The sequence below is a fragment of the Homo sapiens genome, chromosome 1 (genome assembly GCF_000001405.40).
Source record: "Homo sapiens chromosome 1, GRCh38.p14 Primary Assembly".
Classification (NCBI taxonomy): domain Eukaryota; kingdom Metazoa; phylum Chordata; class Mammalia; order Primates; family Hominidae; genus Homo; species Homo sapiens.
Genome location: NC_000001.11, coordinates 2,391,373 through 2,415,515, shown reverse-complemented (window position 1 = coordinate 2,415,515; position 24,143 = coordinate 2,391,373). Strand labels below are relative to the sequence as shown.

General features: G+C 57.7%; 3 protein-coding genes across 12 annotated transcripts in view, besides 14 other annotated features; 2 read left to right on the top strand and 1 right to left on the bottom strand.

Moving 5' to 3' along the window:
* PEX10 (peroxisomal biogenesis factor 10) lies at positions 1,689 to 11,542 on the top strand. 8 transcript variants are annotated; one of them, NR_164636.1, is made up of 6 exons: positions 1,689 to 1,919; positions 5,065 to 5,145; positions 6,658 to 7,060; positions 8,621 to 8,796; positions 8,897 to 9,032; positions 9,682 to 11,542. NR_164636.1 is itself a non-coding variant. In NM_001374427.1 (6 exons), the coding sequence occupies exons 3-6, from the start codon at positions 6,897 to 6,899 to the stop codon at positions 9,748 to 9,750; spliced, it is 549 nt and encodes a 182-aa protein (NP_001361356.1). In that variant the 5' UTR covers positions 1,689 to 1,919; positions 5,065 to 5,145; positions 6,658 to 6,896; the 3' UTR covers positions 9,751 to 11,542. The 8 variants fall into 8 exon arrangements, 7 of the variants coding, with proteins under 7 accessions (NP_001361356.1, NP_001361355.1, NP_002608.1 ...); NM_001374427.1 differs by having other exon boundaries at positions 6,658 to 7,064; NM_001374426.1 differs by having other exon boundaries at positions 6,658 to 7,064; positions 8,564 to 8,796.
* Positions 1,983 to 2,562: an enhancer, noted in NCBI's record as "H3K27ac-H3K4me1 hESC enhancer chr1:2344393-2344972 (GRCh37/hg19 assembly coordinates)". NCBI's record gives its function as "activates a minimal SCP1, AML or CMV promoter by ChIP-STARR-seq in naive H9 embryonic stem cells {active_cell/tissue: H9 hESC(naive)}" and the evidence as "EXISTENCE:reporter gene assay evidence [ECO:0000049][PMID:30033119]".
* Positions 1,983 to 3,724: a biological region, named in NCBI's record as "H3K27ac-H3K4me1 hESC enhancers GRCh37_chr1:2343231-2343811 to GRCh37_chr1:2344393-2344972".
* Positions 2,227 to 2,826: a silencer, noted in NCBI's record as "silent region_118". NCBI's record gives its function as "represses an Ori minimal core promoter by ATAC-STARR-seq in GM12878 lymphoblastoid cells {active_cell/tissue: GM12878}" and the evidence as "EXISTENCE:reporter gene assay evidence [ECO:0000049][PMID:35858748]".
* Positions 2,563 to 3,143: an enhancer, noted in NCBI's record as "H3K27ac-H3K4me1 hESC enhancer chr1:2343812-2344392 (GRCh37/hg19 assembly coordinates)". NCBI's record gives its function as "activates a minimal SCP1, AML or CMV promoter by ChIP-STARR-seq in naive H9 embryonic stem cells {active_cell/tissue: H9 hESC(naive)}" and the evidence as "EXISTENCE:reporter gene assay evidence [ECO:0000049][PMID:30033119]".
* Positions 2,987 to 3,366: a silencer, noted in NCBI's record as "silent region_117". NCBI's record gives its function as "represses an Ori minimal core promoter by ATAC-STARR-seq in GM12878 lymphoblastoid cells {active_cell/tissue: GM12878}" and the evidence as "EXISTENCE:reporter gene assay evidence [ECO:0000049][PMID:35858748]".
* Positions 3,144 to 3,724: an enhancer, noted in NCBI's record as "H3K27ac-H3K4me1 hESC enhancer chr1:2343231-2343811 (GRCh37/hg19 assembly coordinates)". NCBI's record gives its function as "activates a minimal SCP1, AML or CMV promoter by ChIP-STARR-seq in primed H9 embryonic stem cells {active_cell/tissue: H9 hESC(primed)}" and the evidence as "EXISTENCE:reporter gene assay evidence [ECO:0000049][PMID:30033119]".
* Positions 3,725 to 4,305: an enhancer, noted in NCBI's record as "H3K27ac-H3K4me1 hESC enhancer chr1:2342650-2343230 (GRCh37/hg19 assembly coordinates)". NCBI's record gives its function as "activates a minimal SCP1, AML or CMV promoter by ChIP-STARR-seq in primed H9 embryonic stem cells {active_cell/tissue: H9 hESC(primed)}" and the evidence as "EXISTENCE:reporter gene assay evidence [ECO:0000049][PMID:30033119]".
* Positions 6,334 to 6,834: an enhancer, noted in NCBI's record as "H3K4me1 hESC enhancer chr1:2340121-2340621 (GRCh37/hg19 assembly coordinates)". NCBI's record gives its function as "activates a minimal SCP1, AML or CMV promoter by ChIP-STARR-seq in naive H9 embryonic stem cells {active_cell/tissue: H9 hESC(naive)}" and the evidence as "EXISTENCE:reporter gene assay evidence [ECO:0000049][PMID:30033119]".
* Positions 10,080 to 23,675, bottom strand: RER1 (retention in endoplasmic reticulum sorting receptor 1). Its single transcript, NM_007033.5, has 7 exons — positions 23,558 to 23,675; positions 19,645 to 19,732; positions 18,296 to 18,400; positions 16,002 to 16,101; positions 14,581 to 14,659; positions 13,174 to 13,309; positions 10,080 to 12,481 (listed from the first exon to the last, which is right to left on the bottom strand). The coding sequence occupies exons 2-7, from the start codon at positions 19,723 to 19,725 to the stop codon at positions 12,392 to 12,394; spliced, it is 591 nt and encodes a 196-aa protein (NP_008964.3). The 5' UTR covers positions 19,726 to 19,732; positions 23,558 to 23,675; the 3' UTR covers positions 10,080 to 12,391.
* Positions 22,931 to 23,803: an enhancer, noted in NCBI's record as "H3K27ac-H3K4me1 hESC enhancer chr1:2323152-2324024 (GRCh37/hg19 assembly coordinates)". NCBI's record gives its function as "activates a minimal SCP1, AML or CMV promoter by ChIP-STARR-seq in primed H9 embryonic stem cells {active_cell/tissue: H9 hESC(primed)}" and the evidence as "EXISTENCE:reporter gene assay evidence [ECO:0000049][PMID:30033119]".
* Positions 22,931 to 23,966: a biological region, named in NCBI's record as "Sharpr-MPRA regulatory region 13804".
* Positions 23,390 to 23,689: a silencer, noted in NCBI's record as "silent region_116". NCBI's record gives its function as "represses an Ori minimal core promoter by ATAC-STARR-seq in GM12878 lymphoblastoid cells {active_cell/tissue: GM12878}" and the evidence as "EXISTENCE:reporter gene assay evidence [ECO:0000049][PMID:35858748]".
* Positions 23,672 to 23,966: an enhancer, noted in NCBI's record as "tiled region #13804; HepG2 Activating DNase unmatched - State 1:Tss, and K562 Activating DNase unmatched - State 1:Tss". NCBI's record gives its function as "activates a minimal TATA promoter and a strong SV40 promoter by Sharpr-MPRA in HepG2 and K562 cells {active_cell/tissue: HepG2 | K562}" and the evidence as "EXISTENCE:reporter gene assay evidence [ECO:0000049][PMID:27701403]".
* Positions 23,790 to 23,899: a silencer, noted in NCBI's record as "silent region_115". NCBI's record gives its function as "represses an Ori minimal core promoter by ATAC-STARR-seq in GM12878 lymphoblastoid cells {active_cell/tissue: GM12878}" and the evidence as "EXISTENCE:reporter gene assay evidence [ECO:0000049][PMID:35858748]".
* The window catches only part of MORN1 (MORN repeat containing 1), a 70,302-nt gene continuing 70,120 nt past the window's right edge, over positions 23,962 to 24,143 (top strand). For all 3 annotated transcript variants that reach the window (NR_125361.2, NM_024848.3, NM_001301060.2), the window contains exon 1: positions 23,962 to 24,058. Coding sequence is in view for 2 of the 3 variants with exons in the window: in NM_024848.3 (NP_079124.1) it covers positions 23,983 to 24,058 (76 nt within the window). In the remaining variant the exon portion in view is untranslated. The remainder of the gene's footprint in view (positions 24,059 to 24,143) is intronic.
* Positions 24,030 to 24,099: a silencer, noted in NCBI's record as "silent region_114". NCBI's record gives its function as "represses an Ori minimal core promoter by ATAC-STARR-seq in GM12878 lymphoblastoid cells {active_cell/tissue: GM12878}" and the evidence as "EXISTENCE:reporter gene assay evidence [ECO:0000049][PMID:35858748]".

Genomic DNA, 24,143 nt, shown 5'->3' with positions numbered 1-24,143 from the left:
GGGCGGCACATAGGCTGAGTGGCAAGAGATGGTGAGGCATATCGGGGCTTATTGATTCAAGAGCAGGCTCCTCCAGAAGGATGTAAGGCGCTGCCAACAAGAATAACGCTCGGTTTAAAGGCTGTGGTGATCCCCTGCTGGGGCCAGGCACATGGCTGTCAAGAGACCCAAGACTGGGGCTGGGCCCTGTTGGCCACTTCTGCCCAATGCCTGTGGTTGCTCTCCCTAAAATCCACAGCCTTGGCCAGGCACGGTGGCTCACACCTGTAATCCCAGCACTTTGGGAGGCTGAGGCAGGTGGATCACAAGGTCAGGAGGTCGAGACCATCCTGGCTAACAGGGTGAAACCCCGTCTCTACTAAAAATACAAAAAATTAGCCAGGCGTGGTGGCGGGCGCCTGTAGTCCCAGCTACTCAGGAGGCTGAGGCAACAGAATGGTGCGAACCCCAGAGGCAGAGCTTGCAGTGAGCCAAGATCCCGCCACTGCACTCCAGCCTGGGCGACAAAGCGAGACTCTGTCTCAAAAAAAAAAAAAAAAGAAAAATCCACAGCCTCCACCTTCCTGACCTCGATCCCCAAAGAAGAGAGGGACAGAGTTTGTGAAAAGTCCCAAGGGCTCAAGAGGAGGCTGCCACAGGGAGGCAAGGGTGCTAAGCGGCAAACGCCCCCTCCCCTGGCAGGACCCCCATGCCCCACCCCAGAACCCTGGAACCAACCAGAGCTCCCAGGTTGCCTGGTCAGCCAGGAAGGACATGGAGACCTGACTCCCGCCCCACCTCCCTGAGACCCCCTCCAGGCGCTTCCTTCCCTCCGCTGTTTCGGGCAGATGGTCGCTCCACTTCGCCAGTGGTTCTGATCTAGATTCGATTCCCTTTGGGGCAAAACTCACCGCCTAATCCCCTATAACTCTACCGGGGAGCCCGGTGGAGAGCAGACGGGCTGACGCTGCCACCTGCCGGCCATCCCAGGATAGGACCGCCGTATTCAAGTCGCCCTCAGGAAGGACCCTCGGGGCACCAGAGGCCTTCGAAGCCCCAATGAGTGAGGCAACTGAGGGTCGCGGGTGCCATTACAAGGCCCAGCCAAGGCCTAGAGCCAAGGCTTGAACCGTGGGGGACCCCCAAGCCCCACCTGCCCAGGAACAGCAGACACTGGGACACTTTGTTTCAGGTCCTGCCCAGGCCCCTCCCACTGTGAGGCTGGGATTTGTCGCCCAGGGTGCAGATGAGAAGAGTGGGGAAAGCAGTCCTGAGCCAGGACAGCGGTGGGGGATGCCTCCTAGAGCAGGCCCTCCCGTCAGGGGCCCATCATAGAACCCAGTGTGAATCCAAAGGAGCCGAAGCCTCCTCCTCAGAATCAGACGTGGAGCCATGAACCCAGGGGCCAGAGCGGCATCTCAAACTGTTATCTAAGCATTGACCAGAACACATGATCACCTCAGCGGCTCCACGTGGGCGATGCCGGGTTGCCTGGTCCACGGATGAGGGGTTCAGCCCAAGGTGCTCAACCCAATCAGAGGGCAGCCTCTGTGTCCAGGAGACACGGGTGCACCCGCGGGGTCAGAACTCCAAAGGGGCGCGGGGGCGCTGGGAGGTTTGGTAGCCAGAGGGCCTGCGGGGCGGGGCCACCCAGGCCATGCCCCTTCCCTGTAAGAGGGGCCATTCCTGCAGTGTGGGGCTCTGGCTTTGTGACTGGGCTGTGCCAGTCTGGGGATGATCCCACAGCTGAGCTCCTGTAGATGGAACCAGAGGTGAGGCAAGGAACTGGAGGCCCTCCCCACTGAGGTCAGCGGGGCGCAGACGCCCCCTTGTCGTGCCCTGCCTTCCTCCTGCAATCCTGCAGGACTCTCCAGGGCCAAGTGCTGCCCTTGGGGCCAAAAAACAGGGCCTTCTCCTTCACCTGCCCTGCAGCCATTCAGGTATGTACCAGGCATCTCCTGCCCTCCCTGGCCAGGCGGCCCCAGAGGCACAGGCCGCAGACACCGCAGGCGACCTGCGTGGGCCTCCAGTTCCCGCCCCAGCCCTTCCCACCCCCAGCTCAGGGCAGGTCCAGCTGTGGCCAGCGGCTGGGGAAGGTTCTGTCCCCTCCAGGTGTGCGGCCTTGGCAAGTGCTTCAGGCCTCCCTCCGCTCGTCCCCTGGGAGCAGAGGGATCGGAGCGCCTGCGATGTGGTTCCCCAGAGCACCTGCGGGGCTCAGGCCAGGCAGGGTGGAGGGTGGAGGGTGGAAGGCCACCTTCCGCCCGTCCTGGAACCACGCGGCGGCTTCCCGGCTGCCCCCCACCCGCCAGGCCCTGCCTCCCGTGGGCACCAGGGGGGCGTCCACACCAAGCCGGCCGTGTGCTTTTCGCGCAGGATTACTGGGGAAGGCGGCTGCTCGGGGCCTGGAAGGTCCCGGGTCTCGCCTCGTGCCCCTCTGGCCCCCAAACCGACCGGCTCCCCGGAACTGGCCAACCCGCGCTGAGAGCCCGCGCAGCTCAAAGGGCGCGAGGGCGGGACCGCCGCGGCCGGCGCTGGGAGCTCGGCTTCCCGAAGACCCAAGCGAAAGCCTCCGTCTCCCCAGCCGTAAATGGGCCTGCAGCGTCTCCACTCCGCAGCGCTGTCCCCAGTGGGAGGGCGGCCCGTGGACGTGCAGGGAGCAGAGCAGGGGCCCCTGGCAGCGTAGGACCCCGAGGTCGCAGCAACCACGCGGCCGCGAGCCCATCCCGCTGCCTCGCCAGCGCCCCTCGCGCGTGCCCCGCCCCCACCTCGGCTCGCGGGCCCCGCCCCGCTCCGCTCCGCCCTGCGCCTCCGACTACCTTCCCGCTGCCCCGCCCCGCGCTGCGCTGGTTCGGACTCCAGCCCCGCTTCCGCCCGGGCCCTGGCCCCGCCTCCAGCCCCAGTCCGGCCCCGCCCCAGCACCTTGACGCAGAGGTCTGCGCCGCACGCAGAGCCACGTCGTGCCGTCATCAGTTCTCGCCCGTCTGGGCGTGGGCGTGGCCGGCGTGGCTGCTCGGGACCACCCGAACCCGCGGCCATGGCCCCGGCCGCCGCCAGCCCCCCGGAGGTGATCCGCGCGGCGCAGAAGGACGAGTACTACCGCGGTGGGCTGCGGAGCGCGGCGGGCGGCGCCCTGCACAGCCTGGCGGGTGAGGGCCGGGCGCGGCCGGACGTCCTCGCGAGCGGCCCAGGGGGTGTTGCCCCTCATGGAGGCGGGGTGTCTGCCGTGTGTGGTCACGGTCGCCTGGGCCCGTCCCACAACCTGGGACCCGGCAGTCTCCTTCGCCTGCCCTGCGGCCATTCAGGGATGTGCGGGGCACCTCCTGCCCTCCCTGGCCAGGTGGCCCCAGAGGCACAGGCCGCAGACACCGCGGGGGACCTGCGTGGGCCTCCAGTTCCCGCCCAAGCCCTTCCCGTCCCCAGCTCAGGGCAGGTCCAGCTGACGCCAGCGGCTGGGGAAGACTCTGTCCCCTCCAGGTGTGAGGCCTTGGCAAGTGCTTCAAGCCTCCCTCCGATCCTCCCCTGTGAGCAGAGGGGTCAGAGCGCCCGCGGCGCGAACGCCTCATACCTCGGTCCGGTTCACACTGACCCCGGCCTTTCCTAGGCCTGAGCAGCAGCCCAGGCCCCTCGCCCTGCTGACCCCAGTGTAGGCTCAGCCAGGCCCTGCCTGCCTCACCAGGCCGGGAGCTGAGTACAGAAGCCAGTGTACTCAATGAAGCAGCACCTGTCATCCCAGCAGTTTGGGAGGCAGAGGCGGGAGGATCGCTTGAGCCCAGGAGTTTGAAACCAGCCTGGGCAACATGGCAAGACCCCGTCTCTACAAAAAATCTGAAAATTAGCCGGACGTGGTGGCGGCGTCTGTAATCCCAGCTCTTCAGGAGGCTGAGGCAAGAGAATCGCCTGAGCCCGAGGGATGAGGCTGCAGTGAGCCATGATTGTGCCGCTGCACTCCAGCCTGGGCGACGGGGCCAGACCCCATCACCGATTAAAAAACGAAAAAAAAAAGATGCCGGGTGTGGTGGCTCACGCCTGTAATCCCAGCACTTTGGGAGGCCGAGGCGGGTGGATCACTTGAGGTCAGGAGTTCGAGACCAGTCTACACAACATGGTGAAACCCCGTCTCTACTAAAAATACAAAAATCAGCAGGGCGTGGTGGCGCGTGCGTGTAATCCCAGCTACTTGGGAGGCTGAGACAGAATCACTTGAACCCGGGAGGCGGAGGTTGCAGTAAGCCAAGATCGTGCCACTGCACTCCAGTCTGGGCAACAGAGTGAGACTCCATCTCAAAAAAAAAAAAAAAAAAAAAAAGGCAAAGCCATCAAGTCTTTGGGGGGTGGGGCAGGCAGTCGTTAAAGGCATGAACTCCCAGCAGAACGTTTCAGGGAGCAGTGGCACTAGAGCCCAGTGGTGGGGGTGTCGTGGCCAAAGGAACAGTGCCATGGGACAGGAAGAGCATGGGTAAATATCAGAGGACAGCCAGGCTCCGTGCCGGGAGGCCCATGGGTGTCAGGTGGGCAGCCATTGGTGGATTCTGAACAGGAGAGTGACATGATGAGAATTTTTTGTGTGTGTACTTACTTGTTTTACAGTACACTTGGCACTTACCCCTGTGCCAGACACTGTTCCCAGTGTTTTACAAATATTGAATCTTCAAACATCCCTCCAAGTAGGACTTATTACTCTTCTGATAGATGAGCAAATTGAGATTCCAGAAAGACCTCACAGCCAGCAAGTTGGAGAGCTGCTTTTTGATGCTAGACAGTTGGCCTCTGGCCTGTAATCTTAATACCCCAGACCATCTTTCCATGTGGCCCTCATAGGCCCTAGAACAGTTGCTCAGGGGAATCCCGGAGCAAGAGATGAGCACAGGTGGGAGATTCTTCGCAGACTGTCTGCAGCTCACGCTAAGGCAAGTCAAGGTGGTGCCTCCGGAGACAGAAGCAGAGAGGGAGGCCAGGGAGTGAGTGTTGGCTTCATGGAAGGGGTGGGACTGGATCTGGGCCTAGACAACTGGGGGAGGACTGTGGTCCCTCATCCTCAGAGGATGCCCACCAGCTCCCCCGGACTAATACTGTTTCTCCTCTCAGGTGCGAGGAAGTGGCTGGAGTGGAGGAAGGAGGTTGAGCTGCTCTCAGATGTGGCCTACTTTGGCCTCACCACACTTGCAGGTAGAAGCTCCCACGGGACCTCAGGACTGAGGGCAGCCACACACACCAAGTCTGGGGACGGTGGCCAGGGGGCTGCCAGGCAGTGTGAGAAGCTCCTGGAGCTGGCCCGGGTGAGGTTGCTTCAGGGAAGTGCAGGAGGTACTGCTCCGAGGGAGGCGAGGCATCTGCTCCCAGCAGGGAGCCGACTTTTCCAGCCTTTGTGTGTCCCTGGGGTTCTTTGTTTAAGACTTTACCCCGGGTGCCACTGAGACCCATTTCTCAGTGGCCAGCCCTGGTGGCACCAGTGAGTCACAGTGCTGAGCCATGTCATAGGGTGCAGTGCCCGTGTGACAGTGCCCTGGTGGAGCAGTGGTGGGTCTGTGGCCCAGGCTGGTCACCACCCTTTAGAGGGAGTTGTTGACAGAAGCTCTCAGGCTCCCAACCCCAGCTCAGCATGTAGCAAGGACCACCGAGTGCCAGCCTGGTTCCCTACGAGGGGCTCGCCCCGGGCATCCTGCCGCCATGGAGAGTGTGCTCGGTGGGCGGGAGACAGATGTGGCTGCGTCACAGAGCATCTTGGGAAGTGAGGGGCTCTCAGAGATAAAGACCACGTCTTAGGGAAGAGCATTTTCCAGACCGGCAGAGCAAGCAGCCGGGAAAGGCCCTGAGAAGAACACGTCCTTGGCGGTTTGGGAGAATGACCCCGGGGGGCTCGTGAGTTTTGTAAGCCCATAGCTTTCCCTGTGCGAGGCTTGGGGCATTCCAGGGACGTGGGCAGGGGAGAGGCCGACCACTAGCTAAGACCAGACCTCAGGGGACAAAGTTGGGCTCAGGGAGACTACAGAGGCTGTGACAGTCCCCCACAGGATGGTGGTGGTACAGAGCAGGGGCGGCAGCGAGGGGGTGGAACACACAGGGAAGGTGCATGCAGGGTGCCCCTTGGGCTTGACCTCAGGAACCGGAGGCCTGGCGTTGCCATCCACAGAGATGGAAACGGGGAGCAGGCTTTTCTGGGTGGGGGCGCTGAAAGCTGTCTCGGCAGGGGTGGAATTGGGGTGCTCATCTGAGCATACATGGCGATGTCAGGTAGGTGGCGGACCTGCATGGCTGGCACTCACAAGTAAGGTCCAGGCTGGGCATAAATCGGGTGGTGCCAGCTGTGTGGTTGGTGGAGAGCCATGGGACTGGATCCGAGTGCTTGGGCTGGGGGAGGTGGCGGGGACAGCTAGGGAGAAAGGGGAAAGAGCAGAGACTCTTGGGGAGAAGCCAAGAGAGGGAGGGACACTGGCCAGCCAAGGCCCTGGGAGCCAAGGGCAGCCATTGGCCGGGCCTGTCATGTGCTGCCTGAGCTCACAGTGGGCTTAGCGACAGAAGGTCATGTTGGCCTCAGCCAGCACGGGGTGACAGTGGGCTCAAGGGCGACAAGATGGGGCTGTTGACAGGAGCCAGCAGAGGGTCGGCTGGCAGGGGCGCCGGGAGCCTGTCCCCGCGGCAGCAGTCTCAGGGTCCACATACCCATCCTCTTCCTCGCAGGCTACCAGACCCTGGGGGAGGAGTACGTCAGCATCATCCAGGTGGACCCATCGCGGATACATGTGCCCTCCTCGCTGCGCCGTGGCGTGCTGGTGACACTGCATGCCGTCCTGCCCTACCTGCTGGACAAGGCCCTGCTCCCCCTGGAGCAGGAGCTGCAGGCTGACCCCGACAGTGGGCGACCCTTGCAGGGGAGCCTGGGGCCAGGTGGGCGTGGCTGCTCAGGGGCGCGGCGCTGGATGCGTCACCACACGGCCACCCTGACTGAGCAGCAGAGGAGGGCGCTGCTGCGGGCGGTCTTCGTCCTCAGACAGGGCCTCGCCTGCCTCCAGCGGCTACATGTTGCCTGGTTTTACATCCACGGTGTCTTCTACCACCTGGCCAAGAGGCTCACGGGGATCACGTACGTAAGTAGCAGGCGCTGAGGGCACAGCTGCTTAGGCCGTCCTTGTCACCCCCACTGGACTTGGGTGCATGCACAGAGCTGGCCCTCCAGGCCTCTCAGCCAACAGGGTTCTACATCCAGCATCTGTGTCAAGGCAGGAACCCAAATCCTCTGCTTGGAAAAAAAGCAGATTTTGTTTAATTACACTTGGCTGAAAGATCCAAGGAAGTCCAGACCCTAAGTGTAGAATGAACTCCTGCTGCAGCCCCTCATGGACACCGGGCCCTGCGCTTAGCTCTTTACTGACCGGGGGGCCCCGGGTCACGCCTCACCACAGATCCCTGAACCTGGGCCCGTGACTGCCTATGTCACTGCTGTGGGGAACAAACAGCTTCTCCCAGACAGTGTGGGAGCATGGACTGCAGCCCCGGCCCCAGCCCCTCACCCCTCGCCCCTGCCTGGCCCAGCAGTCTGCCCCATCAGACGGCCGTTCCCACCTTCTCCCCTCCACAGCCGTTGGCACCTCTGCCTATCCTGACCCCCAGCTGATGCCCCTGCTTCCAGATTCAGCAACGAAGCCTCCCCCGTGGTCCCACCACCATGTCCACCTGCCACAGCGTTAGTCCCTGGCCCACCAGAGCCACTACTGCATGAGCTCCTTCCAGAACAGCCCTCTGAGGAACCCCCTTCCTTTTGTCCCTAGAGCTGCACTGGTCCCCTCAGCCCCTACTTGCCAGGCAACCCCGCCTCCACACACACCCTAAACAGGAGGCCACCGTGACCTCGTCGCAGAGCCAATGGTCAGGTCTTCGTCCTCAGCGTACCCAGCCTCACTTGCGTATTTGATGTGGTTTCTTGCCCCGTCCATGTTGGTGAGGGATTTGATGAGCTGCTGTGACAGGGGCATGGAAGTGGGGCTCAAACCAGATGGGAGGCTCCCTCTCTCCTAGGACAGCCAGGAAGTGGCTGGACACCCAGGGCCCATGCTGGCGGTGTGACCTGCCACCTCTGTATGTGGTTCCCGGCCCTGGGCCGAGGCTGTCTGGCTGTCTCCATTTCCCAGCCAGTGGAAAGTGACACGGGAAGCCGAGGGCAGCCAGCTGTCCTTCAGTGGCACGGTCAGAAGCTACCTGTGTCACCAGCAGGAGGGTGGCAGCAGTGTCCCTGGGGCCACGTGCCTTGTTACACTGGGGCTTCGGTCCCTGTAGCAGGGTAGCTGGTGGGCAGCGTCTGCAGCCCCACATTTCCGCTCCCCGCCTCCTTTTCTGAGAGGTGGTCCCTGGACATCCCCACATCCTCACCTGCTCTGCCAGCCTCATAGCTAAGACTCTTTCTGCACTGGTAATGCCAAGGCTGGTCTGGAGCTCAGGCCTCTCCGTCATGCTAGGCTACGAAGCAGGCACCTCAGACTCCCTGAACCTGCCCCCTGGCTTGATCGTTTCTGCCGGGCACTCCCCATGCCAGTGAGAGGCCTGGTTCTAACGTGCTCTGTGCCAACTGAACGTGTGACCCTCCCAGCAGGCGCTGAGGCCAGATCCCCTCAGGGTCCTGATGAGTGTGGCGCCATCTGCCTTACAGCTCCGTGTCCGCAGCCTGCCCGGAGAGGACCTGAGGGCCCGTGTTAGCTACAGGCTGCTGGGGGTCATCTCACTGCTGCACCTGGTGCTGTCCATGGGGCTGCAGCTGTACGGTTTCAGGCAGCGGCAGCGAGCCAGGAAGGAGTGGAGGCTGCACCGCGGCCTGTCTCACCGCAGGTGCGTGCGGGGGCCACACATGGGGGCTGGGGGTGTCCTGGGCACTTCACAAGGACCTGTAAGGTGCACCCACCTTGACGCTCTGCCCCACCTTCCCCAGGGCCTCCTTGGAGGAGAGAGCCGTTTCCAGAAACCCCCTGTGCACCCTGTGCCTGGAGGAGCGCAGGCACCCAACAGCCACGCCCTGCGGCCACCTGTTCTGCTGGGAGTGCATCACCGCGTGGTGCAGCAGCAAGGTGAGGTGGGAGCCTGCTGCCGTCCTGGGGTGGTCAGCGGCTGTGCCGGCAAGATGCACCTGGCTGCAGCAGAAGTGGGGAGTCTGGCTCTGAGCACCCTCCAGTTTTGAGGGTACAGAGGTGGGCATCTTTTTAAAGGCTCCCAGGTAGGTCAGATGTGGGTTCGTTGAGGGGGTTAAAGTTCCAAATTCACGTGTATTGAGGCTTTGCCGAATGCAGGTTGGGGTAGTGGCCAGCCCTGAAAGGCCCCACGCTTGCACCACGCATCCCAGCACACCCTTCCTCCCGGGGTCCTCACCACACTTGAAAACCCTAGCACACTGACTCACACCCACCGAAGATGCCGGCAGGGTGAGAGCGCACGCTTTCCCAGGAGCTGGGCTTCGTGGGCTGTGTCAGCTGCGGGAGCAGGAGGGAACCTCCCGGCCGAGCCCCACACCCTGAGCCCTACGCCCCCAGCCCCGCCCCAGCCCCCACTGGGACTCGGCCTTCTGAAAAAAGGCTGGCTTTCTTGGTCATTAGTTGAAGGAAATACAACATTTATGTTGTGTGTCATGTGCAGAGAATGTGGACAGGAAAAGAAATGCCGATGGGGATGGGCATGGCCCAGTGGCCCCAGCTGCTGTGACCCCCTTTCTCCTCTCCGCAGGCGGAGTGTCCCCTCTGCCGGGAGAAGTTCCCTCCCCAGAAGCTCATCTACCTTCGGCACTACCGCTGAGCCGGCGCCCGGGTGGGCCTGGACACAGATGACCTCTACGGGAGTCTGAACGCCAAGATTTAGTCTCAGGATTAACCTTGCTTGCACAGAAGTTAGAACACTCTCAGTTTTTTGTCATGTAAGATACTAACCTAGCCACCCTGGGAGAGAACAGAAAGCTGTCCCTGGCTGCGCTTTCTCAGCCCTGGGAGGGGCGCCTGAACCCAGAACATTTCCCTAACCCCAACCTGGTAGGACTCAGCCACTTCTTCAGGAATTTCACTTATTTGGACGGGATTTTAGGTTTCCCTCCCTTCCCCAAACCATACAGTTGAGAAGTAATTCAGAAGTAGGCCAGAAGACACTTTATTCGTTTATATTGTGAGAAAACAGCCCCATCAGGCTTGTGTTAAGGCAATGGACTGAATGAGTGCGTGCTGGGTGGGGTGGGGCACGGAGGCTGGCGGGTTGCTTCAGCCAGTGCAGTGAGAACAGCAGCCCCACGGCCCCATGGGAGGCGGCGCTGCTCTCCCCGAGGGCGGCTGGGCAGAGCACATCCCCCAGGACTTGATGACCACACGGGGCAGAGAGAAACCAACCAAGGCCAGCACCTCCGTCGGAAGCATTTGGCACACACACCTTCAATACACGTCAAGGTCGCTTCCAGTTTTAGAAAACAGAAATCTGCATCTCAGCCTGAGACGCACAGAGAGGTCTCTTCCTGACCCAGACGCACTCACGAGCCAGGTCCTGGGGGTATGGGGGCTGCCAGGGGCGCCCGAGCCCTCTCCTGGGGGGCCTGCTGGGCAGGCGACCTGCTGACCCACGGTCACTGCTGTGTTCAGCCCCTCAGCTCGGCCCCAGCCTATTTCCCGCCTCCATTTGATGTTTCCAGGTTTTCAAAACTGCATTTAACCTGCGCCAGAGAGTTCACCGTAGGCATCTTTAATAAACTAACTCCAGCAAAATGTGGGTACGTTACTAACACAAGATGGAACTTGAGATTTCCTGAAGCGCAGTGTTAAAATGCCTCGAGGGCGTGTGCCACATTTCCCTGCTGACGTAAAACACCTGGCCAGCAGGACCGGCTTCCGGCAAAGACCCGCGCAAACCATGTCTTGCTGTTTGACTTACTTAGGAATGAGGATGACCCTGTATTCCTGGGTTAGTCAAGGTCAGCTTGCCAGAGACGGAGGAGGGCGGGGGGGCCGTGACCCTCTAGACTGGGAGGACCACCAGGAGAGGCACTGGGGGCTGCGGCCGGGTGGGCAGATGCCGCCGTGGCTCCATCCATCAGCACCCAGTCCTTTGCTTCACTGTGCTCTGGCCAAGCGCGTGCGACTTCCTGTCACACCTTAGGCCTGAGCGCTTATTAAGAAAACAGTATGAAAAATGACAAACACTCCTGTCCACAGTCTGAGAATCCCAAGTGTCTCAACACGGTACCAGAAGTACCACCTGGGAGCAGCACTGGCTATCTTGGGTCAGGGACACACAAGCTTGAACGTGGCCTCTTAGAGGAGCTCGATGTCAGATATGTAAACACTGGTACAAGAAAATCCAGACACTAAGCATTCACCGTGTCAATTCTGAGACAGGAAACACCGCCCAGAGTGAGGAGCCTGCGCAGCCCGGGGCCCAGGAGGAGAGGCCTTCACTCGCATGTCAGTGTCTCATCTGGGACCACAGCTGTGATGTTCTGCTGTGCAATATGGGTCACCTTTCGAAAAGGCCAAACAAAAGGTGGGCTTTCCTGTGTCCAGCGACTGCCATGTTTTAGGTAAAGACTTTAGTAAAGGTGGAGGTAAAATCACTTGGTAAAACGTTGAGAGTATTTCTTTTCTCGAATCAAAAACGCTGACATGCAAGTGGGTTCCGCCTCTCCCGCAGTGGGGGGCCGAGTGCTGAACCTACAAAGCCAGTCTGCTCCCTGCCAGCTTCGCTGCCCCTCATGGAGGGTTGCATGAGGACAGATTTAAATTAAAAACAAAACACTCTACGTATCAAAGAAATGTGTCAAAATAATCTCAAACAATTAAAATATAATATATATTTATAATTCCGGGCCCTCAAAAGCAATCATGGTAGTTAAGAACCAAGTTTTGAGTCATTAGGATAGAGGCCAACTTTAAACATCTCCAGTGAGATGGAATTAGGAAACTGGCATTAGAACCCCACACAGTTACTTGACAATCACCTTTAAAACGTTAAGTTCTTTCGGACACGCAGGAATCAGGCTAGATCATCCCTCGGGCTCTGTGGAGTGGCTGGCACCACCTGCGGCTGCTGGGGAAGGCGGCTGGCGGGGAGCGGCCCGTTCCTCCCTCGCAGGCCTTGCTCCTGCCTGCCCACCTGGCACAGCGGGGACCGGCCACTCGCCCTTGCTCCCATGGGCTCCACCCGCCTGGCTTCCCGCCTGCAGCTGACTAGAATTCCATCCGTGAGAAACACTTGAACGTCACTGAAAAAGAAATCCATGCGATTTGGTTTAAGCGCCAGTTTCTTCTAGAACCTGATATTTCAGTTACAAATCATTGAAGCTCCTTTTTAAAAAGAAAATTTGACTCCCTCGTAATCAACTACTTTATGTGAAGAAAAAAGGCATTGTTAACAATGGCTCAAAACTGTTCTTGCAACACGTGAGGCAGCCTCAGTCCCGCTTCTAGCTGGCGAAGGCCTTGCCGGCATCCTCCTTGCCTCTGTACCTTCTCTTCCCATGTGTGAACGGGATGTACCGGTACTTAATCATGTGCTGGGGAGAGAAACACAGACTCAGTTACTGCACAACCGCTCTCCAGTCAGTCACACTGTCCCCAAATCTGAGCGGCCAAAGGTCCCCCATCTTTTCTATACATCAGACAAGTGGAATCGGAGCCCCAGTGGCTTCCTGCGCCCACATCAACACAGCAAGACCTTCCACAGCCCACGAGGCCTAGGTTTGAAACCCCATCAATCCCAGTGCTTCGTGAGCCTCCCGTGGAGGAAGGGCAAGGGGGATGTGAGGTGGCCCAGGGCCCTCTCTGCAGCCAACACCCCGGGCACAGAGTGAGGCCCGCAGCACGAAGGCCACACCGTCAAGGGCACAGTCCGCAGTCTCGGCTAACTTCCCCCTAACACCCTCCTCCTCGGGCAGGCTGGCGCGGGGCACTGGGCACCCTAAGAGGAGCCACCGGGACACTGCACTCGCCGGGGCTCTCCCACCCGGCTTCCACAAAGTTTCCACCAAGAGCCCGCCCGCTCCCACAGCTGCGCTCCCCGTTTAGTTAGCCGGCCGTGCTGGGAACGGAGCAGTGTCCTCGTCACACACAAGACGGTGCCACTTAGCTCCACATTCACACCAGGCAGACTCTGCCACCACCCACCACAGCCCAGCACAGCTCCCCCAATGCTGCGGGTAACAGAACAGCGATTGCGGCCGGCGTGGCGGCAGCGCCTCTGCTTTACCTTGATTTGCCTCTTCATCGTGATACAGAAGAGCATGATGAAGTACATCACCAGAATCGGCCAGAACACCGGGACGTTGAAAGCGTCGAAGAAAGTACAGACCATAGCCACAAGGATGCCCTTGGTAGCCGCATGCCTTCAAGTGGGGAGAGAAGGTTAGCGCCGCATCTGCAGCCAGCACCGGGCACCTGCCGGCCGCCTCCAGCCTTGCAGCTGCACCGACCGTCCCCGCAAACAGAAGCATCCCTGTGGAAAGGAGGGGTCTACCCTGGGCACAGCAGCAGCAGGACCCTTTGCATGTAGCTCACAGACATGTACTGCCCTAACCACAGAAACATCCTTCTCTTACTCCCTTGAAAGACACAATTCTTCTTAAAACTACACAAAGTATAAAGCATCAGTACTGAGGCTGGGGGCCCCATGCCTGCTGGCTGGGCCTGCGATCTGGAGAGAAACCCAGGCTGTGTCTTGTGGACCATCCAGGGCCTTCACCTTGTCACTGTGGCATGGCCACCAGTGCTCCCTCCCGTCCCAGCACATGGCCAACAGATGCCACGGCCCTGGAGGCTCAGCTCTCCCTTCCTAGTCCAAGCTTCTGGTGGCTTCCAGGGCCCCTGATCTTTCTGTACCACACTCCATCTGCGGCTGCAAAGTCAAGGCGTGGAGCCCCACGAGCTCAGCAGGCTCCTTCAGTTTACTGATCTAACAGACTTGGGTTCCTCCTGTGCTCCCAGAGTGGGGTATGAGGGACAAGACAAACGGATGCACACGCTCCCGTCCCTCTGACGGCTGCACCACCCACCTCTGCCTACCCGTGCAGACACGGACACCTCGGCTCAAACCCCTCTCAAAAATGACTCCAGGAGAAGGCTAGTCCCTCTGCCAGCCAAAAGGAGCCACAAGGCTGGGGATGGGAGAGAGGAAGGAGGAAGGAGGGAGGAGGAGGGAGGAGGAGGGAGGAGGAGGGAGGAAGGAGGGAGGAGGAGGGAGGAAGGAGGGAGAAGGAGGGAGGAGGAGGCAGGAAGGAGGGAGGAGGCGGCAGGAAGGAGGGAGGAAGGAGGAGGGAGGAGGGAGGGTGGAGGAGGGAGGAAGGAGGGAGGAAGGAGGGAGGAAGGGAGGAGGAGGGAGGAGGAGGGAGGACAGAGGGCCTGCCCTCCCCAGGCCACAACCACAGAAGCCGGTGCGCACTCCATCCCAGACTCAACCTCCAGGGCACTGGTGCTGACTTGAAACCAAGAGAATGCGGCAAGGTAGTGAGTGGCCTTCTACAGAGAGCCCCTGCGATTCCCCGTGCCCAGCCCAGCACAGCAGTCATCTTTCAGGTGACTTGAACAAAAATCAGTGTAGTCTCAGTCTCAGCCACCCTTGAGCACAATTCTCTTCAAATACCGTGAAGAATTAGCTCACCAAAATTTAAACTCTGGGAGCCTTCGAATGAAGGGGCGGAATTCCTCGTTCTGTTTGGTGGGTAGCGAAGGACCGTCATCTGTAAGGCAGAGCAACCATCAGGGAGGGCACCTCTTTTCATTCCCATCACAGTTCTACCTTTTCCCCTCAAGGCTTTGGACTAGCAGGCCTCACAAATCTAAACCGAGATTCATGTCATTTAACCAGAGAAAACGAGAAAACGGGGGTCTGTGGTCAACTGACACATCCAATTCACTGCTTTCAGAAGGTGCTATCAGAATGTTTTTAGACTTCCACACGTTTTCAATGCACGAAGAATTCAACCACATATAAACATCCAGGAACACGTCAGCTGCACCACGTAAAGGCACAGAAGAAAACAAAGGCAAATTAACATAAAAAGCAAGCGGCAGAGAACAGGGCGGGGCCGAGGATGCGCTGACCGTGGAACCCGGGCGCCAGGCCTGTCCCACCAGCAGCTGTGCCAAGCCCACTCTCACCCCGCCTCCCCCACTGGGATGGGTGCCGCTCCCCATTTACAGATGGGAAAACTGAGGCCTACAGGAAAGGGGCTCTTTGTTATTTTCTAGTCTCCTCCAAACAGCAACAACAGAGAGGGGCTGTGTTCCCAGCAATCTTTTCATCACATATCCTACACAGAAGACTCACAGGCTTCTGGCCACACAGTGAGAGCATACCCTACTCCCTGACAGCAGGTTCCCCCAGAACGAGGAGGGTCCTGGCAGGGAGCTGCGTGTGGGTTTTCCCTCAATGGCCACCACGTCCTGGAATGCAGTTGTTTGTTCCTCGCCTGGGGCTGGCCAGTCAGGCATGAACTCAGGGCCCCTACCTGGCCCAGGCAGGCCCAGGAGCTGCGTAAGTCTTCCAATAGTGGAGCACGAAGCACCAGGAACACTTCAGCTCACAGCTCCTCAGAAACCAGAGAAGGCCGCCCAAAGCCTGACCCGACCCGATGCTGGCATTAGAGTCCCGGCGGTCTCTGTGCACCACAGTGAGCTGCCTGTGGAACCCTCTGGCTACGGGAAAAGGTAACCTCGTCATGGCTGCCTCCGCTGATTCTGAGAGGGACCACTGACTGGGGTGGGACGGGGGCTGGAGTCGGACTGTCCACCTCAGACCCCTACTGTCTGTGGTGCCATGTGACCTCGAACACGTTACCTAACCCTGTATGCCTCAGTTTCCTCATCTGCAAAGTGGGAAAACAGAATGAACACCCACTTCGTGGCTGTCAGGAGGGTTTGAAGAGTCATTCTACAAACATATCCTGATCACCCAACATTACAAGTACATTTCAACCCCAAGAGAAGAGTCTCGGGTGTTTCCAGAGAACACTGGGCAATCCCATCAGAAAAGAAAGGCCCAACCTGCCCACACAGCCCAGTGCACAGCCGCTACCCTACCTGAGTCTTCCATTAAGGAAGGATCCACTTTGGGAGAAAGAAAAGCTATGAAAAGATTTAGATGGTAGATCCCCAAGGCATAGGTCACAATGTACCAACCCTGAAAGAGAAGGAAAGAGAGTCAGTGGTGCACTCTGACCGTCCATCAGCCTGAGCCAGTTCACGTTTGCACTCCGGTTCACTCTCAACTTTGTTAACTGATCTAACTTTGTTTTAACACAAAACTTACTCATAGCAAGGACAAGGAAATACAGTGAAATCCCATGGTAACAATTTATCTCAAATTATACTCTGTGGGAACAGAGACAAAGCGGACAAGCAAGGGCCCAAATGAGCAAAGCTCTTCAAGGGTCCAGTTAGACACATGTGATCCCTGAAGCCACAGACGCCCCACAAGGAGCGCAGCAGAAAAGGAGGCTTTTCTCAAGAAGCACATGCTCAAGCTACACCACAGGCTCGGGTGGCCCGGGCACCTGAGCGATGCTGGCCCAGAGCCCCACCCAGGAGCAGCTTCATCAGAAACAGAAGACAGACTCTCAACTGTGACTGGAGGCGTGCTGGCTGATGTTCCTCCAACAGACAATTCACATTGCCAAAAACACTCTGCCAGGAGGGTTAAACCTTTGCCCAGAAGAAATCCACAACTGGGAAATCCAGAAAAGTGTGCTTATGCCAAGCCTTCCTCAAGAGATGAAAAGTGGGGAGAATTTTGGCAAGATGCCTGAGTGCAGCACACTTATTTGCAACTAATTCATTTTTTAAAATGATTAAGCATATCCCGTTAAAAGCCAGAACCGCATTCTCAATTTCAAAAGCCTTAAATTTCTGTCGGGTGTGGTGGCTCACGCCTGCAATCCCAGCACTTTGGGAGGCCAAGGCGGGTGGATCACCTGAGGTCAGGAGTTCAAGACCAGCCTGGCCAACATGGTGAAACCTCGTCTCTACTAAAAATACAAAAATTAGCCAGGCATGGTGGCACATGCCTGTGATCCCAGCTGCTCGGGAAGCTGAAGTAAGAGAATCACTTGAACCCAGGAGGTGGAGGTTGCAGTGAGCCAAGATCAGGCCACTGCACTCCAGCCTGGGCGACAGAGTGAGACCCCATCTCAAAACAATAAATAAAAATATAAATGCTTTAACTTTCTTATACAAACAAGAAGTCTTTCTGCCTAAAAGCTTTTCCAGTCAGACGGCTGAACGCCAGATGTGAGGGCTAACTGATGTCTGTGTGTCCATCCCTGGCTGAACGCCGGATGTGAGGGCTAACTGATGTCTGTGTGTCCATCCTCGGCTGAACGCCGGATGTGAGGGCTAACTGATGTCTGTGTGTCCATCCTCGGCTGCAGGGCCACACCTGAAGAGACGCCAAATGAGGCACGAGCTTGGTTTCGAACGCAATAAAACTGACCTGTGGGTGCTGCACTCTTCCCGCCCCCTGCTCCTGCCTGAAGTCCCTGATTCAAGATTTCTAGGTCATTCTTTCCATCAGAGAATGGACCCAGTTCCAATTTAAAAACAAAAATAAATAAATAAATTAAGGTGTGTGCTTTAAACAAGGAAGTATCTTCTACAGTCCCCAGAGGAGAAAATAGCCCAGACAAGGCTTTCAACATGCCCTGCTCTGCACATAAGATTATGTAACCTCCTCTAAAGACCGACGAAGAATTCCCATCTTACAGGTTTGCTCCTAGAAACCCCGTGTTTACCAGCAAGTAAAGGAGCACCCAGGTGAAGTCTGAGACGACATCACCTGACCTAGGGGTGCCCGAAAACACACGAAGGAAACCCTCAAGACCCCCTTCGGTCACTGTCTCTCTTACTTGACTCGGCGTCTCAACCTGCACTGTGCTTTGGCCTCACACAAGGGAGAGCTCAGGAAAAGCTACATAAACCCTTTGGACGCCGAGTCATTCATGACACCCAAGGCATGGACTCTTCACCCAAGGAATGAGGCAGCCACAGAGCGCAACCTTGTCCTGAGCATCATGCAGCAGGGTCGGAGGGACACCAGCGGCTCCACTGTCCAGGCCTGGACGTGCCCAGGGCAGGGCCAGGCTGGGCTCAGGACGGCCTGGGTATACTGAGAAGCCTGGCGAGGCGACTCCGGGTGAATCATAAACAACCCTGTTCGTTAAAGACAGTCACTGAGATCTTTCTGACATTTGGCGTTTAGCTGAAAATTGATTACTAGAGACCACTTCCTGCAAGACAGACTGGATCAACAACATCCCCACAAACATCACGCCCAGGTAACGTGGACAGAGCCAAGTCTCGTCACTTCAGCCCACACCTACCTGCAGCAGGTAAACTCGAATCATGTAGACAAAGCTCAGGCCCAGTGTCACGACCCATCGCACAGCCGTGTAGGGTGTGGACTTGTCTAGCCAGGACTGATAAATCTAGAAAGACAAGAGTCCAAAAGCATGAAGCAGGTCCTGTAACTTCTGTACTGACCCTGCCACAAAATGTACCTTCTGCTAGGGTTGGCTTTCAATTTTTAAAACAGCTAAAAGAGTGAGTTAAAATAGCAAGAGATCATCTATGTATCAGCACAAAGAAGTGACTACAATTAATCCAAAGTTTATTTTCAATAATTCCTGAAGCAGGTTCATCTCTTAAGCAAGACTATTACAAAACAATCTCCTAGGAGACTGTGACATTGTGCTGGCCCCAAGGGATCACTATGGGGAAGACCCAGCCTCACCCCAAAGAGAGGACTGTGCATCTCAAAGTCCCCACCCTACAGCACAGCCCTTATCGTCACATCTCAAGTCAGCTCCCCCATCTGCAGCAGCCAGCAGCCAGCCTTGCCCCGCTCCCAGGCCCACTGGCCACAGCCTGAGCCCCAGCAGCCACACCCACATGTGTGTGCGTCCAGGCGGCTGTGGACATGACCGAAGGAGCCCTTAGTTTTATGTATTTATTTTTACAAATATACATATGTATGGTTTTTTATTTTAATTTAGAAATTTAATTTTCAAATTGTGAGAAATTTCCAAATTCACAAAAGTAAAAAGATTATAGAAGCTTACATATGCCTGTCACCCAACTTCATTAATCGCCAATCGCTTTTCATATGTGATTTAATTAAGGTGATGAATTTTTATTTGAGCCGGATCCTCAGCACCTGGAACTGCCGGTGACCCAAGCTTTTCCTGACAGAGGTTCGGACTCCAGCGTTCAAAGGCAGCTCTAGGTCCCTCACTCACCAAGCAATGCACACGCAGCCCACACAAGAGCCTCTCACCCTCAAGGACAGAACCGCCGAGCTGACACGGGGCAGGTGGGGCTACCAGCACCGGGGACGTGGGTGGCTGGGAGAGGGACAGCAAGAGCAGAACGGCAGCCACGGCCGCATCTGTCCTGCCTGGGAGCTGAGACTGGGTTTTATATTTTTAAAGCTTGGTAAAAGGAAAACAGAAACAGAAAACGCATATGTTTGATAGACCACGTGTGGCCCCAGAGCCCGATCTCTCCACAGCTGGCCCTTCACAGTGAAGAGAACGCTGTCTTCAGGAAGTTTGAGCCTGAGGCGAAGTAACTTCTCCATCAGGAACACCAGCAAACAGATCCTTCCCGAAAATGCTGGGAGTCCCGTTTCTTTTTCAAATATTTATACTCATCTACTAAAAAACCCACCAACCTGTCCAAGTCTTGTGAAAAATCTGTACACCACCGAAGGTTTCCCATGGACGGATTCTCCCACACTGTCCCCTTCAGACATTCTGTAACTGGGAGAAAAACACAAAATACTTTTCAGTAAAAAGCATTCACGGGTGTGAAATCCTGGCCCTATTTTCACCAACACTGTCAAGTAGGTTTCTTCCACATTCAGTATTTTGTCCATATACCATTTGTGTTTTTACCATGAATTGTTCGGGAAAAAGTAGCAGGTACACAGGCTTCCCTGGAGAGGAAGGGCAGCGTGAGACGCATGGGCCCAGGAGCACAGGCCGCATTTTCATTCCCACACTGGCACCTCAGTCACCTGCGTGGGCGGGACTGTCCACCCCACTGGCCCCAGGAGCAGCCTTGCTGGCCATGGGGTCCACTGGCTGGTCCATGGCACGTGGCACTGCATGTCCTCCCTCCAAGGACCGCACCCTCTGTGGATCCCTCAGGGTTCCCCCGCCCAGGCACCTTGTCTGCTCCACGCCCTGTCCTGGGTCTCTGGTCTGGCAGGAGCAGGAGGGATCCTGTCCTCTCAGGGCCAGGTCCTCCACCCCATGAACAGGAAAATGTTATCTACAACTCTCAGGTAGTCCATCCATCTGCGTCCCAGTTTCTTATCTGGCAAGCGGAGGTAACGTATCTGCTCCTATTTCAACACTGCTGTGATGCCATGAGGAATTCACCTGAGAACCCAGGTGCCAGAGGTCACATTGTTCACCCACTTAATTCCCAGATGCTCAAGTGAAGGGCATCATGACCCCCATTTCACCAAGTCTCAAACAGTGGAAGCCACGTGTCCAAGGTCCTGCCACAGCCCTGCTTCTGGGCAGGCCAAGCCAAGCCTGACTGCCACCTGGCTCCTCAGCTGAGCACGCCGCCACCCCACTCCTGAGAGGAGACGGCGTCAGGACCTGCCGCTCTTCGGTAAAGCACAGCTCAGTACCCAGGGCCTGCCGGTTGTCATTCCTACTTTAAAGATGAGAGGCCTCCTGGCCCCTGAGCTAGAGAAGACGCCAGGGGTGACGTTCACCTCCCCCACCACCCCCCATCTGCTCCCTCGGCAGGGCAGTGAGGAGAAACAGACTCTGGTCTCAAGTTTGGCTTAAAGTCCCACCTGTGCTAAGCGGCTGTGAGGCCTTCAGCAAACCCTCTGAGCACGCAGCCAGCCTCAGTTTCCTCATCTGTAAAATGAGGCTCTAAGAAATACCAGACATGAAAGCAAAGACATCATTCCTCAGCAACAGTTGGGGTCAGTCTTATTGTTCTCATTTACAGATAAGAAAACTGAAGCTCACAAAGACTAAAGAGTTGCCCTGGCCCATCAGCATGTTCGCAGTGGGCAGGAGCCAGAACCTGCACCTTCCTGAAACCAACGCTTTTCCAGTCCCATCCTCACTGTGAGCACTGGGGAAATCTTCCCTTCAGGTGGAAGGCAACAGGTGGCCAGACGCAATCCCGCCCTCAAGTGCCTTGGCTCTCCCATCACAACTGATGCGCTGAAGTGATCCAGGCAGCTCCCTCCACATCATCAAGTCTGTGCAGAATGTGGCTCCATGACACCGTTCCTGGATCCTCTGTGCAGAGTGCCAGGCTGCTCAAGGAGACCGAGGGGCCCTTTGGTCTCGCGGAGCCGTGTAAACCAGACACAGAGGAGGAGCACCTTTACTCTCCACTGAAAGAACTCCATATTTAAATAGAGGCTACACTAAAATGTGTCACCTGGAATGGCCACCCTATTTAGGCCAAAGCCAGGCCATCTGAAAGCCACCCGTCACATTGTTCGTCCTATAGCTCCTTGTAAGTTTCCCCGTTTTACTCAGACTGTTTCCCATTAAAGCACTTTTACTGGACTGGAGGTGATGAGAGTAATGTCAGGGAGAAAATACCCAGCTCTCCCGCCAAAGGGTGTTCTCTAGGCAAAGCTCAGAACTTCTCACTCTCCAACTGAACATGTAGAAAACCTACTCAAAACGCCATCAGCCAATCCTGCTTGTCTGACACACACAACACGTATACCAAACACACACGTATACCAAACACAGCTTGCACCCTGACTGAACGCATTGCCAGGAATAGCCTGAGGCAGGGCGGCAGGAGCAAGAACGTGAACTTTGGACTCCAACAGCCTGCTTTCAGATCCTGGCTCTACCACTCTCTGCCAGTGTGACTAGGACAGGCTATTCCAGGATGCCTCAGGTTCCAGTCTGTGAAATGGGACAACAGCACCTCTCATGCCTTCTCCACAAGGCTCTCGTGAGGAATCAGTGGGCAGCCCGTGGAGCACCCTTGGAGCCGGGCAAGGCAGTGCCAGCCCTGTTCCTGGATCAGGGCCAGCCCTCACACCAGCTGCCCCCTCTGCAGTCCTCTTCTCTGCTCAGTTTGAAGCCCACCTCCTCTTCACAGGCCTCCGTTACCGCCCACACTGACCCCCAGTCCCTTACATCACATCACCCTATTTTTATTTTGTGTACAACTGTTTCCTGATACCTTTCTGGTTTACTTCTCAATTTTCTCCTGCTAGAATGAAGCTCCTTGAGGGGTCCCTTGTCTGGTTCGGGGCTGGGCCCTGCCACCTGGAAGTCCATTACATAGTAGACAGCCCATCAATTACCTGTTGAAGGTGACTGCTTTATGCCTGGTCACAAACAAAACAGAAAGGGAGATAAAACCAGTCCAAGCAGAGACCATGAGGACGTGCCAGAAAGTGTAAGACTCTCTATGTGCCTTGTTCCAGGCCCGTCACATTCATCCACATCTGTGGTCCATCACTCTGCACGTGGAAAGGATGAAGTCCTCTGCCTGGCGTCCGGGAGCATTGACAGTCTGGCTCCCACCTTTCTCTTCACGTCCCCATCCCCAATTCCTCCGGGACTAAGAAAGCCCCCGGCTGCCGTGCACCAAGCTTCACGCCTCTGGTGTTGTTCAGTCCTCTGAAATGCCCTCCCAGACCCCGTCTCTTCCTCCTTCCCAAGGCCACATTCCAGCCTGGGCTCCCCGCTCCTCTGGGCCTGACCATCTTATATCTCCACCTGGCTCTGACACACTGTTACCGCCGTCGCCGTCACCTCAGGCATACGGCAGAAGCCATGTGAGAGTCTGAATTACTGAGAACCCTTTATCCACTTACGGGGATAACTGCATCTTCCTGGGAAATGTCAACTCAACTAAAAATAAAGTGCTTCCAGGACTAGCGGCCAGTCTCTACTCTTCATAAAGGGAAAAGGGCAAAAGCCCACTGAAGGTACTTAGGCTGAAAGCAGCCCTCTGTGCTGTGAGACACCTGGCAGAGAAACGAACGATACCTTTATCAGTGGGGCCACAGACCAGTACTAAGTCAGCCTGGAGAATTTATGATTTTATTGCCTATTTAGAATACGATCAAAACCGATGTAACTAGTTTCCCTTCAGCCCGTCAGTAACGCCTTCACCCCAGAGCTTAACACTAAATCCTACAGATAAGCGCTGACCTGGACGCAGGATGGGGACAGGGCACATTACTCTGGAATACAGCCCAACTCGCAGCGCTGTGGGGGCCGCGACTGCCCGCTTCCCCCAGATGCCAAGCAGGGGATGCGGACGAGATGCGGCCCGGGTGGCTCGAGGGCTGCAGCCCCCGCCCGGCCCCTCTCCCGCTCCCCCGACCCTCGCAGGCCCCAGGGCTCCGCCGCACCCCCCAGCACCCCGTCCCGGGCCCGACCCCGAGGCGCGACCCGTACCCCTCAGGGCCGCGGGTCGGGAACACGGTCCCCGCGGCCACCCGGGCCCCGACGGCCCTCCCCGCCCGGCCCTCAGCGCGGCCCCGCCCGCCCGCGGCCTTGACAGCCCGGAAGAAGCGGAGGCGGCGCTGCCCGGCCGTTCCCGCGCCACGCAGCCCTTCCTGGCACCTCGCAGCTCCGCTACGGCCGAGCCGCGGTCTCCCTCACGGCCGCGGGAAGGAGGACGGCGGGGCACGGGCGGCCGCAGGCGCTGCGCTCCGGCTCCGGGAAGCTGCAGCGAGCACTTCCGCTCCGTCCTCCGCGGCGCCGCCTCCAGGGCCCCCAAGATGGCGCGAGGGCGGGGCCAAGGGCTCCAACCATTTCCGCTTCCGGCGCAGACGCGCAGGCCGTTGGCGGGCGGGCCTCCCGGCGGAAGAGACGACAGCGGCGGAAACGCGCACAGGCGCAGCTGCGTCCTCTGGCTCCGGGCCCGGCTAGCTTCGCTCCAGAGATTGCGCGGGCTCAGGGACTAGGCCCGTGGCCACACCCCCCCTTGCGACAAAGACCAATGGAAGCGGGCGTTGCTGGTCGCTAAGAGAACCCTCGGCGGCAAGATGGCAGCGGCGGGCGAGGGCACCCCGAGCTCCCGCGGGCCGCGTCGGGACCCGCCTAGGCGGCCGCCCCGGAACGGTAACGACTGCGGGCCACGGGACAGGTCGCTGGCTGCCCTGGGCTCCATTCAGGGTGCGATCGCTCTACGCCCTCGACCCCCAAA

Coding starts and splice junctions, on each gene's coding strand:
- PEX10 (NM_153818.2), top strand. CDS start 3,014: ATGGCCCCGGCCGCCGCCAGCCCCCCGGAGGTGATCCGCGCGGCGCAG. Junction 5,146..6,657: donor TGGCCTCACCACACTTGCAG/GTAGAAGCTCCC, acceptor TCTTCCTCGCAG/GCTACCAGACCCTGGGGGAG. Junction 7,065..8,560: donor GGCTCACGGGGATCACGTAC/GTAAGTAGCAGG, acceptor TGACCCTCCCAG/CAGGCGCTGAGGCCAGATCC.
- RER1 (NM_007033.5), bottom strand. CDS start 19,725: ATGTCTGAAGGGGACAGTGTGGGAGAATCCGTCCATGGGAAACCTTCG. Junction 16,102..18,295: donor TTCGAGTTTACCTGCTGCAG/GTAGGTGTGGGC, acceptor CTTCTCTTTCAG/GGTTGGTACATTGTGACCTA. Junction 12,482..13,173: donor CGATGAAGAGGCAAATCAAG/GTAAAGCAGAGG, acceptor TTCTCTCCCCAG/CACATGATTAAGTACCGGTA.